General features: G+C 37.9%; 1 long non-coding RNA gene across 2 annotated transcripts, besides 1 other annotated feature; it reads left to right on the top strand.

The window, feature by feature from the left end:
• The first annotated feature begins 3,120 nt into the window (after nucleotides 1–3,120).
• FAM230G (family with sequence similarity 230 member G) lies at nucleotides 3,121–17,587 on the top strand. 2 transcript variants are annotated; one of them, NR_165637.1, is made up of 7 exons: nucleotides 3,121–3,261; nucleotides 6,088–6,146; nucleotides 6,615–6,747; nucleotides 9,585–9,671; nucleotides 14,577–14,642; nucleotides 16,646–16,707; nucleotides 17,173–17,587. It is a non-coding gene; the product is annotated as a family with sequence similarity 230 member G (long non-coding RNA). The 2 variants fall into 2 exon arrangements; NR_136572.2 differs by lacking the exon at nucleotides 3,121–3,261 and adding an exon at nucleotides 4,004–4,107 and having other exon boundaries at nucleotides 6,615–6,639.
• Nucleotides 16,476–16,676: a silencer, noted in NCBI's record as "peak4456 fragment used in MPRA reporter construct". NCBI's record gives its function as "represses an SCP1 promoter by STARR-seq MPRAs in K562 erythroleukemia cells {active_cell/tissue: K562}" and the evidence as "EXISTENCE:reporter gene assay evidence [ECO:0000049][PMID:32103011]".
• Nucleotides 17,588–18,383: the final 796 nt, after the last annotated feature.

Genomic DNA, 18,383 nt, shown 5'->3' on the forward strand with positions numbered 1-18,383 from the left:
CTGGCAACAGTGGGAGACTCAGTCTAAAAAAGAAAAAAAAGAAAAAAAAGAATCTAACTAATGCCTGATGATCTGAGGTGGAAGAGTTTCAGCCCAAAGCCATCCCCACTCCGTGGAAAAATTATCTTTCACAAAACCAGTCCCTGGTGTCAAAACTTTGGGGCCCACTGCTGTAGGCAGTTATATCACAGTAGTAATATCTAAACATGGAAAAGATACAGTAAAAACATAGTACATTGGGAGACCGAGGGGGGCGGATCACCTGAGGTCAGAAGTTCGAGACCAGCCTGACCAACATGGAGAAACTCCGTCTGTACTAAAAATACAAAATTAGCTGGGCATGCTGGCGTGGGGCTGTAATCCCTGCTACTCGTGAGGCTGAGGCAGGAGAATCACTTGAACCCCGGAGGCAGAGGTTGCAGTGAGCCAAGATCGTATCATTGAACTCCAGCCTGGGCAACAAAATAAAACTCCTTCTCAAAAAAAAACAAAGAAAAAAATATATATATATTACAAAATTTAAAGAGAGTGGTACACCAGTAAAGGACACTTAGCATGAACAGAAGTTGCAGGACTGGCAGTTGCTCTGATGAGTCAGTGAGTACTTGGTGAGTGAATGCGAAGGCCTAGGATATTACTGTACATAACTATAGACTTTATATGCACTGTACACTTAGGCTACACTAAATGTATTTAAATTTTTTCTTTCTTTAACAAGTTCATCTTAGCTTATCATGACTTTATAAACTTTTAATTTTTTTAATTTTTTGATTCTTTGGTAATAACACATCTTAAAACAAAAACACATTGAACAGCTGTACAGAAATACTTTATATCCTTATTTGATAAGCTTCATTTATTTTGATTTTTTATGTTTTAAACATTTTTGTTAAAAACTAAGATACAAACACACACACTAGCTTAGCCCTGTAAGGGTCAGGATAATCAATATCACTGTCTTCCATCTCGAAATCTTGTCCAAGTGAAAGGTCTTCAGGGTCTTCAGTGGCAATAACATACATGCAGCTGTCATTTTCTATGATAACAAGGCTTTCTTCTGGAAGAACTCGTGGAAGACCTTCCTGAAGCTGTTTTATAGTTAATTTTTTTTAATGAGTAGCAGTACTACACTCTAAAAATATGAATAAAATCTATAGTATTATACATACTGTTGATCCTTGAACAGTGCAAGGGTTAGGGGACCAGCTCCTCTGCAGTTGAAAATCCATATATAATTCTGGGATATCCCCAAACTTAACTTAATATATGATATATATCATATATAATATATATGATATATATTACATATGATATATATCATATATATTATATATGATATATATTATATATAATATGTATGATATATATTATACACAATATGTATGATATATATTATACACAATATGTATGATATATATTATACACAATATGTATGATATATATTATACACAATATGTATGATATATATTATATACAATAAGTATGATATATATTATATACAATATGTATGATATATATTATATACAACATATGATATATAATATACTATATGATAGAGATTATATACAATATATATGATAGAGATTATATACAATATATATGATACAGATTATATACAATATATATGATACAGATTATATACAATATATATGATACAGATTATATACAATATATATGATAGATTAGATACTATATATGATATAGATTATATACAATATATGATATAGATTATATACAATATATATGATATAGACTATATACTATATATGATATAGATTATATACTATATATGATATAAATGGTATATCATATATGATATAAATGGTATATCATATATGATATATACAATATATCGTATATATGATATAGATGATATATCATCTATAAGATATAGATGATATATCATCTATAAGATATAGATGATATATCATCTATAAGATATAGATGATATATCATCTATAAGATATAGATGATATATCATACCTGATATAGGTGATATATCATATATGATATAGATGATAAATCATATATGATATAGATGATATATATCATATATGATATAGATGATATATATCATATATGATATATCATATATTATATAATAAATGATATATATTATATATAATAAAAGCTATATATTACATAATAAATGATATATATTATGTAAAATATATGATATATATTATATATTATATCTGATATATATTATATATTATATATTATATATTTTATCTGATATATATTATATTTGATATATTATATATTATATTATATATAATTATATTATATTATATTATATTATATATATTTTATATTATATTATATATAATTATATTATATTATATTATATATTATATATAATTTATGATATATATAATGTATTATATATAATTTATGATATATATTATATATTATAAATCATATATCATATATATTATGCTATATTATATATAATATAGCATAATATATCATATATTATATAATATATAATATAATATAATATAATATAATGTAATCATATATAATATATAATATATTATATTATAAAATATATTATATTATGATATACTATATATTACATATTACATTAGATAATATTTTATATAATATATAATATATATTATATATTATACTTTATTATATTACATATATAATTATACATTATATTTCATATATAATTTATAATTATATATAATTATATATTATATTATATAATATTATGTATAATATATTATTAAATATAATATTATATATTATATTAAATATAATATTATATATTATATTAAATATAATATTATATATTATATTAAATATAATATTATATATAAGGATGCAGGATGTAAAAGGAAATTATATATATGTTATATATTATATATATTATATTATATATAATTATATATATATTTGGGGGTGCCCTATTTCCTATCTCATAACTTATTTTAAGAAGCACAGCATAATAATGTGTGGACTTGGGATTCAGTTTTTGAAACGACACACTGAGCCTTCCATGACCTTCCTGTACATGTGAAAGCACACCTGTCTGCATGGCAGCATTTGGACCTCACAGTGTGGATTGTGCCTTCACCCTGGAATGTTTATGCCCTATCGCCATGGTGATGTGATTAGGGATCTGCTGCCCTTGGTCCTAAGTGCCACTATCTGTGCTGAGTTTTTCAAAGGTCAGAGCAGATTGAACCTTTGTGGTTCCATTTTCCCTGATTTTGATTTTTCTTATGGGGAACCTGTGTGGCTGCATTCAAGGTATGTTCATACTGGCCTGTCAAATGCGATCTTTTCAAATTACTAGTTAATGCTTTCAAAATATGTTATTTAAAAAATTAGCCTCTGTATTTTCCATATGCAGTTATAAATATGTTTCATGGTTAGGTTTTATTCCTCAATTTATATATTTGATTCTTATACCAAGCAGAGTACCTTTGAAATTTTTCTTCATTTAAAAAATATGTATCTTGGCTCAAGCCTGTAATCCCAGCACTTTGGGAGGCCAAGGCAAGAGGATCACAAGGTGAGGAGATCAAGACCATCCTGGCCAATACGGTGAAACCCTGTCTCTACTAAAAATACAAAAAATTAGCCAGGCATGATGGCAGCTGGTGTAGTCCCAGTGTGAATTGGGATTCAGTTTATTCCCAAATTCCCAAAATATATATATATATATAATATATATTATATTATATATAATTTTATATATAATATATATTATATTATATATAATTTTATATATATATATTTGTCGGTGCCCTATTTCCCATCTCATAACTTATTTTAAGAAGCCAGCATAATAATGTGTGGGCTTGGGATTCAGTTTTTGAAACAAAACACTGAGCCTTTGATGACCTTCCTGTACTTGTAAAAGCCCACCTGTCTGCATGGCAGCAGTTGGACCTCACAGTGTGGATTGTGCCTTCACCCTGGAATGTTTATGCCCTATCGCCATGGTGATGGGATTAGGGATCTCCTGCCCTTGGTCCTAAGTGCCACTATCTGTGCTGAGTTTTTCAAAGGTCAGAGCAGATTGAACCATTGTGGTTTCATTTTCCCTGATTTTGATTTTTCTTATGGGGAACCTGTCTTGCTGCATTCAAGGTATGTTCATACTGGCCTGTCAAATGCGATCTTTTCAAATTACTAGTTAATGCTTTCAAAATATGTTATTTAAAAAATTAGCCTCTGTATTTTCCATATGCAGTTATAAATATGTTTCATGATTATGTTTTATTCCTCAATTTATATATTTGATTATTGTACCAAGCAGAGTATCTTTGAAATTTTTCTTCATTTAAAAAATATGTATCTTGACTCAGGCCTGTAATCCCAGCACTTTGGGAGGCCAAGGCAAGAGGATCACAAGGTGAGGAGATCAAGACCATCCTGGCCATTACAGTGAAACCCTGTCTCTACTAGAAATACAAAAAATTAGCCAGGCATGGTGGCAGCTGGTGTAGTCCCAGTGTGAATTGGGATTCAGTTTATTCAGTTTATTCCCAAATTCCCAAATTATATATATATATATATATAATTTCCTTTTACATCCTGCATCCTTCAACGTTCCATCCCCCACCCCACAGATTAAGTTATTCCCCAGGGGAGAATATGGCAAAGTCTATTTTAATGCAGTTTTTAACCCAATTAAGAACCTATGAAATCATTACTTTCCAAAACTTTGGAACAAAGCCACAGTAGTATGGATCCGTTGGAGGCTTTTCACACAATAAAATGTACATCTCTTTGTTTTTAACATGTTTTTCCCTTCCTCTCTTCTTTTTTTGTGAAATGTGTATTTACTTTAATATATTTGTAGTAAGTCACTTCCATGCACATATTAATTTTTTAAAGTAATAAGTATGTGTATTGTCTACGTGTGAAAGAAAACACACATTTATTTTTATGCCTTGGAAGTTATCCAGAATCATGGAATTGTCAATCACAGTCAATCACCCAACCTACTCACCTTTCCAGTGTAATCTTAGTCAAATTTTTTTTTTGTTATCCAATGAGATGCAGTATTTCAACTCAGAAAGATAAATAGAGTGAATTTATAGAGACTATTAACTAAGAACATACAGTTTTATTTATACTCAGAAGCAAGTAGATTATGTACATATATATGAAGATAAAAATTAAAAGGATAATTGTGTAAATTTGCATGTAGAGAGCTTTGAAAACCTGTTTACTTGTTAATGCTGTTTTGATGTATTGTGTCTTTGTTCTCCCGACCCATCATCCAGAGCTCTCTGCAGGAGCTAAGTGCTCATCAGTTCCATGATTTGGAAACTGTCTAAGTTTAGAGGCACTTGTATTTGTTAGTAAATAAGGCAAGATGATATTGTTTCACAGGTTTTAGTGCAGAAGACTGAATAGATAAGCTGCTCCACCCAGTACACTGGTGTTCATTTCATGGTCATCTCATCTGTTAACCATGGATATAAAACATTTATCTTCAATGATGGGGTTTTACCATGTTGGTCAGGCTGGTCTCGAACTCCTGACCTCAAATGATCCACCCACCTCCACCTTCCAAACTGCTGGGATTACAGGTGTGAGCCACTATGCCTGACTGATTATTTTCATAACCAAGAAAAGAAATAAATACAATTAATGCTGGTGCATGGTATTAAATCTAGTTTTTAAAACATTCACACATAAACAAGGCAGAACCCTATACCCTCCATGATAAATGCAGTAGCAGTGTATGTGGGTCTGTGGAGGTTGAAAGGGACTTGGTAGATGTCAAGAAGGTAGTGGCAGTCCTGCTGGGCTTTTAAAGGGTCTGAAGAAGTGACAGGATGCTGTGGTTGAATCCTAGCATGTATTTTAGCATTTGTTCATTTGGAGTTGATTATTTCACGTTGCTTTCATTTGCCATTACCTGGAAAGCCAAGGGCTCTACTCTCATTTCCTTGCTGCTCTTTCTTTGCCTTCCTTGGTCCGTGAAGAAGATGGTCCAGGAGAAGCTCATTCCATGCTTGTTAACCAGGCACGCCCCTAAGTTCCAGTCCCTGAGTCATTCATGAGTAGCACTGCCAATGAACTGACAGCAATGCTGTGTCCCTCCACATCCCCTAGGTGACTCGAAGAAGCCTTCCAAAAAGCGTGTGAAAAGGAAGCCCTACTCTACTACCAAGGTAAAGTAGCCTGTCTTTGCCTAAGATGCAAATGTTGTTTTCTTGGATCCTTTATTTTTCAGTTGATATCAGCTATGGGAAAATTATCCACTACATTATAGGTGTTAGATAATATTTCCTTGGGGGTGGAGGAGGTGTATTTTACCAACTGACACCTGATTCCAGAGGACGTGCAAAATTGGCAGTGTCAGATAGTACACTGGGTGCTAAGGGATGTTTTCTTCAGGAACAAGCTTTCCACTTTAGATAAGAATTCTGCAATTTCTACTCAAAAATTACCTAGACAGAAACATTCTTCAAGAAAAGCTCCTGTGCTTTCCTAAGGGAACTCTACTCTAGAGTTGGGGCTTTTGACTTGAACCTTATTTCCAGTCTTGGTTACCCAGAGTTTCCAAGTGAACAAAAGACCTGTGTGAGCCATCCATAGCATAGCCTGATTCTCAGAGTGTTTTCCTTCTCTAATTACAGGTGACTTCAGGGAGCACATTCAATGGTACGTATTCTGGAATCACTCACTGGTTGTTAGAAAAGGATTCTACAGGAAATCTGGAGCTTAACTGCTGGCTTTTGTCTGGAGAGCCTCCATGATCCAAGACATCTGGTGGGAATGAGGATGTAGGGTATAGTAAAAGAAACTGGTTTTCCTGGTGACATACTCTTTTTATCTATGTATAGTTTCTGGGAACATGTTCACATTAGGTTGTGTGTGGGTATGTGTGTATTAGGGCGGGGGTGGGGTGAGGTGGTCTGTGTGCAAGTCTGCATGATTTGCTTGTGAATGTGTGTCTATGTGTGTTTCCCCTACGAAAAAAATGTTGTGTTTACCCAGCACAACTCTCAGTGCCATGTTTCTTAATTTAACAAATCAGACCACATACTTTACTTACATTAGTTCACACCTCATCATCATCATGCCCATATGTTGTGAGCTTGTTTACTGAGCCCACATGCCAGATGGAGAAACTAAGCCACATAAATAAATGTGCCCTGGTTCACTTGCTGCATAGTGAAGAGTCAAAATGTTTACTCATACGGTGCTAATGTTGAAGGCCTGAACTACAACCTCTATTTATCAGCCAGTGAAGAGATCACTATTCACCATGCAAGGGAGTTCCAGCACCCTCTATGCCTGGAATTACCCACACCTGCAGAGATCCCAAACGCCATCCCTCACATAAGAGAACGTCATGATCTCATAATCCAGGTAGCTATGTAGACATCTTCCTGCAGGTGTCACATAGTCCTTAGTGTGAAACCAACATAGAAAGCCCATGTTTCTGATCAAATCACAGGTTCTGAAACACTAAGGGAGGCACTAAGTAGGACAATGTGGTGCCTGCGTGTCATAGCTGGGTCTCCTCAAGACATGGATCAAGTCCAGTAAGAATTGGGGAGATGCTTTAGAGTCTTGATGGAGTTATCACCACAAGCCCTCTGAGCTACACACTTTAGGGATCATGACCATTAAGTACTCAAATTACCATTTGGTTGTTATCCGGGTATCCGTCGTCCTTGTGGCAACCCTCTTGTGAAGCTGGTGTGGACAGCCTCAGTGCTGGAGCTGTGCCTGCCTTCTGAGTGGACCCTTTCTGTGTTAGCAGGTGGGTACAAGCGTGGGGGTCAGCACACTCAGTGGATTTACACACACAGCGTTGAAGAGTAAGGCTGGGCTTCATTATTTATACATTTTCAATAAATGATGATCTTCATAACATAAAATCAATGATGTAGTACACTAGAATACTGTCCCTAGTATTGAATCTTGTCTCTCAGCAAAGGGTTGCTTAAAGTCACGTGACAGATTCCATTCAACTGATGGCACATGCTGTAGCAGCAGTTAAAGCAGTCATTTGAAAAGGCTTTTACTATAAACTTACGTGTGAGCCTGAAGTGGGGGATAAAAGAGGCGATTAGCTCCCCTGTGCCATGTTTCTCTTATGTGCGTGGTGGAGGAAAATTACACAGGAAGGTGATGGAGAGAACAGAGCAAAGGATTGGACAGGTCCATTGAACCCATAAGACTATGGTGAGGTTAGTGAATGAGATTGGTCATTTTAGGTCAAATTTTACCCAGAGCTGGTGCAGCCACTGCCCATTCTTAGCCAGACCTTATTGCAGGCAGCTCTGATCAATAGTCAAGGAGGCAGTGGGGGTTGTAGACTTTACTCATTAAATCACCAAAGCACCAGCCCACACGGCCACTTTTCCAGTTAATTGACAGTAGCTTGCACATTCAGGTTTGATCAGTGGAAGGGAAGTTACTCTTTGCAGACCCATTTTTGACAATCATTTTGCGGTGTCGGAAGGTCTGAGCAGCCTCGGGAGGCAAGCAGTCCCTGGTCCCTCAGTGTAGTCACTGGAGGAGACAGTCACTGAGAGGCAGCTGGCAGGGTGAAGGGAAAGGGGAGGCAGGCCACAGAGATGACAGCCTTTAAGCTGTCATACTGGGAGGTCAAGGATCTGAAAGAGGAAGGAGAATTCTTTATCATTAAGGACCTGTCCTTATCTCAGGCATTTCCTCCAGAGCACCACCTTTGTCCACCCACACACCTTGGGCTAGGAGGACTGGAGAAAGACAGTGAGGGGTCTCTTGGGTCTCTGGCACAGGGCGTGATGAAGAGGTGGCAGTTTTTCAGGAATCTCTCTCTCTAGGGAACCAAATACATTTCCCATCTCAGGTCCTTCACTCAGCGGGGTTGAGGTTCTGCTCGTCACTTATCATCTCTGAATGTCAGCACCCTCAAGTGTAAAATCTCAGCCACAGCCCCTCCTCTGCACCCCCTGCAGGGCTGATGTTCTCTATAAACCATAAGGCGTCATGCCCACGGAAAAGCCGAACAGGAAAGCATGCTCCACTGCCCCGGAGCCATCCAAGTTCCCCCTCCATATTCCGCCACTGCTAAGTGTCCAGCTTATTCCTCCTGGCATGTAGTAAACACTTAGAGAACATTACTGAAGTACCAGTCCTCTCTAAGGTTTTCCTGTATTTAGTGATTTTTTAGCCCTGTACTGTGATACTAAGAAGTAGGGCTTAAATAGGGCCTAAAAAGTATTGCTAAAATTACATTATGACAGTGCAGAGAACTGAGGGCAGAGGGAGGACATGAGCTTGCCAGGTCCACATGGCTTAGTGGAATTTGAATCCGGGCCCCCACTCTGCACCAGCCCTGCACTCACAGTCATCCTGCTGTGTTCCCCTCTCCAGGAAGGCACTGCCCACGCAGTCTGTCTGATAGAGGTGTTGAGTGCTCACTGAACTCCGTGATCTTCCTGAAACCCAACTTTGATTCAGTGGGCTCTGCTTGGAAGCCTGTAAAGAAAAGGATCATAAGTTTAAACTTAGAACAGATTATCACTATTTTCCCTCTGGTCTTCTGTCAGCAAGATGTCAACAGCCCTATCTATTGTCAATGCATTAACCAGCATCTTCTCTGATAGAGAATACAAGAAGATATGCTGTGCACACCAACCAGTGTAGGAGACCTCATGGCTCCCGGGTAAAGAAGAAGAGGTACCCACAAGAAGGTACTGTGGAAGTTCATTAATTAAGTTGATTCAAGAATTGCAGTTGCGGGGAGTATTCAGTGTCCCATATGTAAGAGGAAACTATGAAGAGACTAAGCCATATTTTTTAATGTGTCAGGATTCTAATTTGCCTGGTCAGTAAATATTGCTACCACCACAAAAGTAAATATCTACTTAAAAGTCAATTTTGGTTCATGTTTAATGATAGACAATGTTTCAAGCTAATGTCTAGAACTTACCTGGTTGTTAAACATAAGCATAGATCTCCCTGAAAGAGTGGTGCTATATTATTATTTTTCAATTAATATATTTCTTTAGAGAGTTTTAAATTGACATAAAAACTGAGCATATGGCCGGGCGTGGTGGCTCACACTTATAATCCCAGCACTTTAGGAGGCCAAGGCAGGCAGATCATCTGAGGTCAGGAGTTGGAGACCAGCTTGGCCAACATGGTGAAACCCCATCTCTACTAAAAATCCAAAAAAATTAGCCGGGTGTGGTGGCAGGCGCCTGTAATCCCAGCTACTCAGGAGGCGGAGGCAGGAGAATCGCTTGAACCCAGGAGGCAGAGGTTGCAGTGAGCCAAGATCATGCCATTGCACTCCAGCCTGGGTGACAAGAGTGAAACTCCATCTCAAAATAAATAAATAAATAAATAAATAAATAAATAAAAATTGAGTATATAATACAGGAAGTTCCCATATTATTCTGTCTCCTCACCCTCACTTCCTAATTTCACCTATTAGTAACATCTTACATTACTGTGGTACATTTGCTAGAATAATGAGAAAATATTGACACATTATTATCTGAAGTCTACATTTGCATAATGTTCATTCTTTCTGTTATACATATATATGAATTTTGAAATATTTAAAACATTATGTTCACCCTTATGGTCTCATAAAGAAAATGTTCACTTCCCTAAAAATCCTCTCTTCTCATTAATCTCTGTCCTCTTTCTCCAGAAACCTTGGCAACTATTAATATTTTTACTATCGCTTCAGCTTTGCCTTTTCCAGAATGTCATATAGTTGGAATCATATATTATGTAGTTTTTTCAGATGAATTTATTGCACTAAATTGATGTACGCTTTAGCTGCTTTCATGTCTTTTTTATGCCTTAATGGCAAAAAATGGCACATTAAATCACCAAATAATATTGCATTCAATGAATTTTTGTCTTTTTATTCACCTGTTGAAGAATTCGGTAGATTTCATGAGAGAAACCATCTGGGCCTGGTGCTTTCTTTTTCGGAATGCTCTTAATGTGAATTCAACTTATTTAATAGACATAAGTTTATTCAAATTAGGATCCTAGCATGACCTTGGGAAGATTGCCTTTCAAGGAATTGATACATTTCACTGAGGTTATCAAACTGCGGTCATAGAACTGTTCATGATATTCCTTTTAATGCCTAACAGTTCAGTAGAGATGGCTCCTCTTTTATTTCTGAAATTGGTCATTTGTGTTATCTTCTTTTTCTTGGTTAGCCTGCATATCAATTCATTCATTGTAATGAGCATATCAAAGAACCAGCTTTTGGTTTTATTGATTTTCTGATGATCTCAGTGTTTTAATTTTATTGATTTCTGTGATGTTGTTTATTACTTTTACTTGCTTTCCATTGCATTCCTCTATTTTCTATAGTTCCCTAATTGAAACATGATATTACTGATTTTAGGTCTTGTGATTTTTAGTATATTGCATCCAATGCTATAGATTTCCCTCTAAGGACTGCTTTTGCTACATCCAGAAATCTTGCCAAGTCACATTTTCTTTTAATGTAGTTAAAAGTATTTTTAATTTTCTATTGAGACTTCTTCTTTAACCCATGAGTTATTTAAAAGTGCATTGCTAATTTGCAAATATTTGGGGATTTTGTGGCTCTTTTACAGTTGTTGATTTTTTGTTGTCAGGTGTGTGTTGCAAAAGCAGTCGTCTACCTCATCTTGCCACCACCCAAGATGGCCCAGGATGTGGGCTCTCCCTGAGTGAATCTTTGGCAATCTGCCAACCTGATGTGTTCGGCCTCCTTCTTTAGTCTGAGCTTGCCTTCTGCTTAGAAAGGGCCATTCTCAGTTCTGGCAGGGAGTTTTCCCAACATTGAGAAGGTGGCATTCTTACTCCCCACTGCAGCCTGCACCTCTGACGGGTGGTCAGCAGACAGGACAGAGGTCCTCATTAGACAGAGTTCAGCGGGGTCTCTGACCAAAGTGCATCTTCAGAGTCTGCACCTACCCACTGTGACCACGGGCAGGCTCTGAGTCCTAAAGCAGGAGGAACTGTGCGACCATCCTGATTGGAAATTTGTGAGGATCACCGTGTTACTCAAGTAAGGTCTTTGGAAAGTGTCGTATTACTACTGTTTGTGAACTGCTTGTTGGTGGCCTGGCTGAGCCACACACTTTATGAAAACCAGGACCCCTCAGCTGGTGTGGGTGTCTATGCAGCCTGAGACCCTCATGTGAACAGCCTCGTGGCAGCTGTCTTTGCCCCTTGCCACCATCAGTGCCTCCTTGTTCCTGGGCACTGCTTTCTCTGATGGTGCTCCATTGTTTTCCTGCACCTCAGTGTCTACAGCTGGATGTCTCTTCCGCAATCTAGGCGAGGGGGCATCAATGGCAGTTCTGCTGTGGCACTGCCCTCCTTCTTAGCTTGTCTTGCTCTGTCTTAGGCTCCCTCAAAGATCCCACCCTTCAGGTTCTTCCACAAGTTTCTTATTGAAATCCGAGCAGAAAACTATGACCAATATGACCAATCCTATACCCACTGAAGACATGAATGAAGAATTAAAACAATTCTCCATGGACTCTACCATATAGATCCCTAGAAGTAATTTCTAAAAAAAAAAAAAAAATCAAGGAAGATGTAATAGTTTTCCATAAATTAGAATATCCTACATGTACAATTAAATGAAATGGCTAGTATAGTCTTGAAACCAAAACCAGATAAGGTAAATTAAATTCTGTGATATTTTAAAATACTGTAAATTCTGACTAATGTGAGTTAATCTCAATATATGAAATAGTAGATTAACATTGAAAATGCAATAAATAAAATTAGCTACCTCAAGAGTTTAATGGAAAAAAATGTGATTATTGCAATAGATTCAGGAAATTCATGAATAACATTCACCCTATATTTGTAGGACAACTATCTAACTTTAAGTGACCTGTGACAACCATTTGAATTAATGCTGCTTTCACAGCATATCTCTTGGCTTGTTAAAAACCCGACAAGAATTTCCGTAACATTAATTTATTCTTAACACCTATATTGGGTGTGAACCCACCATAAAGTTTGCCCACTGAAAAGGTCTACAATTTGATGCTTTATTAAATTGATACTGTGTGCACCCATCACCACGATCTAATTTAAATATGTTTCCCTCACCCAAATTCTCTCTTGCGCACTGGCAGTTAATCCCCACTCCCATCTCCAGCCCTAAGCAATACTGCTGTGACATTCCATCTCCATAAATTTCCCATTTGCTTAATAGAAATGGACGTATACATATATTTGGAATCTGACTTCCTTCATTTAGCATACTATGTTTGAAGTTAATTGACGTGTTAGCACGTGCTGGTCATGTGTTTTCCTTCATAGTCTGCTGTGTTTACTCATACAGATAGTGTTTATTCATTTATCAGTTAATGGACATTTAATTGTTTTGTTATTTTCTTTGATGAGTAATGTAGCTTTGAGCATTCATATACAGTCATGTAATGCATAATGACATTTTGGTCAAAAAAAATTTTTTTTTTCTGAGACCCAGGCTGGAGTGCAGTGGCACAATCTCGGCTCACTGGAACCTCCACCTCCCAGGTTTAAGCAATTCTCGTGCCTCAACCTCCCGAGTAGCTGGGACAACTGGCACACGCCACCATGCCTGGATAATTTTTGTATTTTCAGTAGAGACAGGATTTTGCTGTGTTGGTCAGGCTAGTCTCAAACTCCTAGCCTCAGGTGATCCACCCATCTCTGCCTCCCAAAGTGCTGGGATTATAGGCATGAACCACCACACCCAGCCTAATTTTTTTAAGAAACAAGGGAACTATTTTCTAAATTACTTTTGCCAATTTATATTTCTACCATGATGCATAGCACTAATTTCACCGTACAATGTATGGTAGGCCCCAATATGTAAGAAATGATGAAAGTAACACATAAAGATTGGTATAAAACAAATAAGATTATCATTATTGCTATCATCTTTGTCAAATTCTGAAAACAATCTGAGTATATTTTTATATAAATATGCTTGGCAACACAGCTGAAAAACGCATTATCAGTTACATTTATCAGTAACAAAGACATAAATTTGAAGGGGGAAAAACACTTGTACTAACAACGCAATGTCAGAATTAACATAAAAATTCTGCTGGTCACTTTGGAATATTTAATTGCCTGGGGCAGTGTTTAGTAGACAAATGAGCATCTATGGAGCACTCAAAGTAGGGGAATCAACAGAACTTGGGTTTGAAAAGTTATCTGGGTTTAGAGTGTGAAACTTTGTTAGAGGACACACACCTTGCATGAGCGAGGTGCCTTGGTGTGTGTGGATGTACCATTATGCTTGGAGGTACAGCATAATGGTGGCTTCCTCCAGAAAGGGACATTTTGGGTGGATTCATTCCATCTAGACAACACAGCCTGATGTGGCATGGACATGAATGGAGGTGAAATGGTCAATAGTTGAGAGGATCAGTCCTGACAAGGGCTGAGGTGAAAAACCTGGGAACCCCTTCAGGTACAAAGTCTTCAGTTGAAAAAGGAGGTGGTCACAGGAAATACTGAGACAGGACAGCAATGCATGGGAGACAGAGTTCTTGGCCCTGCAGGGTGAGTACTGTGGATTCTCAAATTTTCTCCTCTCTCCATTAATTTCTTTCCCAATACAGATGACTTCCATCATACAGTCTTCAGCAATCTTGAAAGATTGGACAAGCTTCAGCCCACTCTTGAAGGTAAAGGAAGGCAGCTAACAAGACTGGCATCTGGGCTTGGCTGTGCGTGTTTTCTATCGTGGGGAAATATATATAACACAATATTTATCATTTGAACCTTTTAACCAAAGTGTGCACTCCATGGCATTCAATATATTCACAGGGTTGCATAACCAGCACCACTATCTACACCCACAATTTTGATGATTTCTTACGAAACCTTGTCCACAATAAGCAATATAGCACCTTCCCCCTATTTCCAGCCCATGGTGATTCCTATCCCACTTTCTCTTGTATGAATTTGACTATTCTAGGCACTTCATGTAATTACAATTATACAATATATTCCTTTTGTGTCTGGCTTATTTCACTAAGCATAATGTTCTCAATGTCCACCCATGTTGTAGCATCTATCAAAATGATGTTCGTTTTTTACAGATGGATGATGTAGCATTGCATGCAGACCACTTTGCTTTTATTACATTCATTTGTTCACTGATGGTTGGATTATTTCCACCTTTTGGCTCCTGTGAAAAGTGATGCTACAAACATTAGTATACAAACATCTGTTTGATTTCCGTTCTCTATTCTTTGGGGTGCCTAAGAGTAGAGTTCCTGGGTCCAACAGGGGTTCTATATTTAACCTTCTGAGCCACTGCAGACTGTTTTTCACAGTGGCTGCAACTTTATCCATTTCTACCATCAATGTATCAGGGTTACAATTTCTTTACGTCCTTCTTCACACTTATTTTCCTTTAAATCATCCTAGTAGGTGTATATTGGTGGCTGCTTGTGTTTTTCATTTGCATTTCCCTAATGACTAATGATCCTGAGCAGCTTTTCCTGTGCTACTATCTGTGGCTGTATCTTCTTTAGGGAAATATATGTTGAAGTCTTTTGCCCATTTTTAAAGAGTTGTCTGATTTTTATTTAGTTAGTTTGTTGTTGTAGATTTTTGAATATATCTTAAATATATTTAAAATATATTCTAAATTTTAGTCTCTTACAAGATAAATGATTTGCAAATATTTCCACCTTTGTGTAGAACTTTAGATTCACAAACTTCATTAATTTGTATGAAATCCTCGGCAGTTGACCCCAAACAGATAAGACTGAAGCAGTATTTTAGGAATAGTTGAAAGTATGATCACCACAAAACATAAGCGTAATCAAATCCTGCAAGCTACATGTAAGGCACAATGACAAATAAGGCAGCAAAGGGCCATCTGGTGTTTAGTTCACCACACTTGTTGCAACTGTTTGCGCTGCAGAGTTAAAACACACCAGCATTCAACCCATGTCTCCTCTCTTGAAGTAAACTGTCGTATGTTGGCTGGCCTGAACAAGCGTAGATATTCTCCATCCTCAATTAATATGCATGCATGACAAAGAAAAGGAGGCCTGGATGAAAAAATATTGTGTGATTAATAATTATGCTTTAATTAATTTTAAAAGATATAATTTCAGTACTTCTAATTCTCCCATCAGCAGTTATAACAAAGGATTAGTGAATAAATACCATAGACTGTTTTGCCTAGAATCGAATCCAATCTGTCTATTAAACTTTGCTTTTATTCAAGTGCAAAATGCTAAAACACATAATAACTGCAGTGACAGCCACTGTGGATCCTCAGAGGTAAAAGTAGTCTTGGGACATAAATCCTGCAAGCTAATATCGTTTTTACAGGGTTTAGAAAACCATTTAGCTGGGTTTCAAACCTCACAGTGTGAGCAGTGGGACTCTCATCAAACTATAGCATGTGCTTCAGTACCATTTGTAGACTGACTCATTCCCATTGCCTTAAGTTGCCATCAGCAAAATGCCAGGGACTCTATTTCTTGCTCCTTAGCTCCTCGTTCTTGCCTGTCTTTCCACCAGGGAAGATTTTCTAGCAGGAGCTCAAGCTGTGCTTTTAATGAAACACATCCACACACACTGTCCTGTTGTCCACATTGAGCAGAGCTCCCTGAATAACTCATGAACAAAAGCATCTATGACTAACTGTTGCTCTGTGTCCTCTTAGCCTCTGAGGAGTCTCTAGTTCACAAGGACAGAGGAGATGGAGAGAGGCCAGTCAACGTGAGGGTAAGGTTGCCTTGCTTTCTCTGAAATAGAAATGTTCCTTTCTTGGTGTCTTTCTTTTTCAACTGACTTTACATGTGAAAAAATGACAATGTCCATGACAGGTATTAAATGCAGTTTTCTGAGGGGGAGGAAGAAGTGACTCTTAGCAACTGATATGTAATCCAAAATGGCATTTAGCTATGACGGCTTCAGGTTGTGGACTGTATCCTTGGGGTCCTTGTCCTTGGAAGCAATGTCTTCTCCTTGGATTCAGTATTTTGCACTTGCCAACCTACGTGGACCTGAGAGATACACCGTCCAGAAGCTGATGCCTTTTCCAGTGTGTATCCTACCCTTGTTTTGGAGGCCTTGAAGTTGACTACACTTTCTGATCAAGTTTTCAATATTCATTGAGAGAAACACAGCCTTGTGCAAACAATCCACAACGTGACATACCCCTCAAAAAGCTTTGTTTCTGTATTGCAGGTGGTGCAGGTGGCCCCTCTGAGGCATGAATCTAGTAAGTATTCTGGAATCACTTGCCAAGAAAACAATCTGGATGCCAAGAAAGGTGTGGCATCCTTGCCTGGTTTCAATGTGAAGAGCCACCCTGATCCTGGGATTGTGATAGGAATAAGTATAGGGGAAGTGTTTTTTTAAAACCTGAATTCCCCAGGGAAAAATTATGGCCAAATTTTGAGGAAGCAGCTGTGCTCCCTTTTGGGTGGTGCTGAGTTGGGTGCTTGAGGATTGGTGGTGTCTTGTGTGAGGCTGCATCGTGTGGTGTGAATGTGTGTGTTTCTGTACAGGTGAGGCTGTGTGTTTTCTCAGGAGAGATTTCCCACTTATACAACCCAATCACCAGTGTCCACTTCTAACAATAAAATCCACCCCCGCTCTACTCTCTCTGTACAGTGACTCCTCCACCCTCACCAGAGCCATCCCCGGGTCTGCCTTATTATCCCCACTGCTCAGGTGGAGAAACTGAAGGGCCAAGGGAGTGGCCCCAGCTCCCGAGTTCCTGAATGAAAAAGTGAAAACACGAACCCAGGAGTGTGGGCCAGTGCTGACGCTGACATGGCACTTAGTCATGGGGTGTTCACCACCACACAGGGAGTCCAACATTCATGTATAAGCCCTAAAGCACCGAGCCCAAAAGGCCCCAGACACTGCCCATCATCATAAAGTGGGCTCCGTGGTCACACAACCCAAGGCAGTTATAGGCTCATCTCCCCACAGACAGGCATAGTCATCAGTGTGTCAAAAGCACAAAGATCCCCAGGTGTTTGGCTCAGCTCACCAATCCTTTTTTTTTTTTTTTTTTAACTTTTAAGTTCAGGGGTACATGGGCAGGATGTGCAGGTTTGCTACATATATAAATGTGTGTCATGAGAGTTTGTTGTACAGATTATTGCATCACCCATATATTGAGCCTAATATCAGTTATTTTTCCTGATCCTCCCCCTCCTCCCACCTCCCACCCTCCAGTAGGCCCCACGCTCACAAATTCTAAGAGGAGTGGGGGACCACAAAGGCCAGTGTGGCCCACTTCAGTTGTGAAGTTAATTTGCTCAGCAACTGGCCAAAGTCTATAAGGATGGGTGATGTATTTTAGTAGATTTAGTAATACTATCTTCCCAAGCCCTAAAATGCTCAAATCCTGCCAGCCAAAAATGGTGAGGAGGGACAGATAGGAA

The sequence above is a fragment of the Homo sapiens genome, chromosome 22 (genome assembly GCF_000001405.40).
Source record: "Homo sapiens chromosome 22, GRCh38.p14 Primary Assembly".
Lineage (NCBI taxonomy): Eukaryota > Metazoa > Chordata > Mammalia > Primates > Hominidae > Homo > Homo sapiens.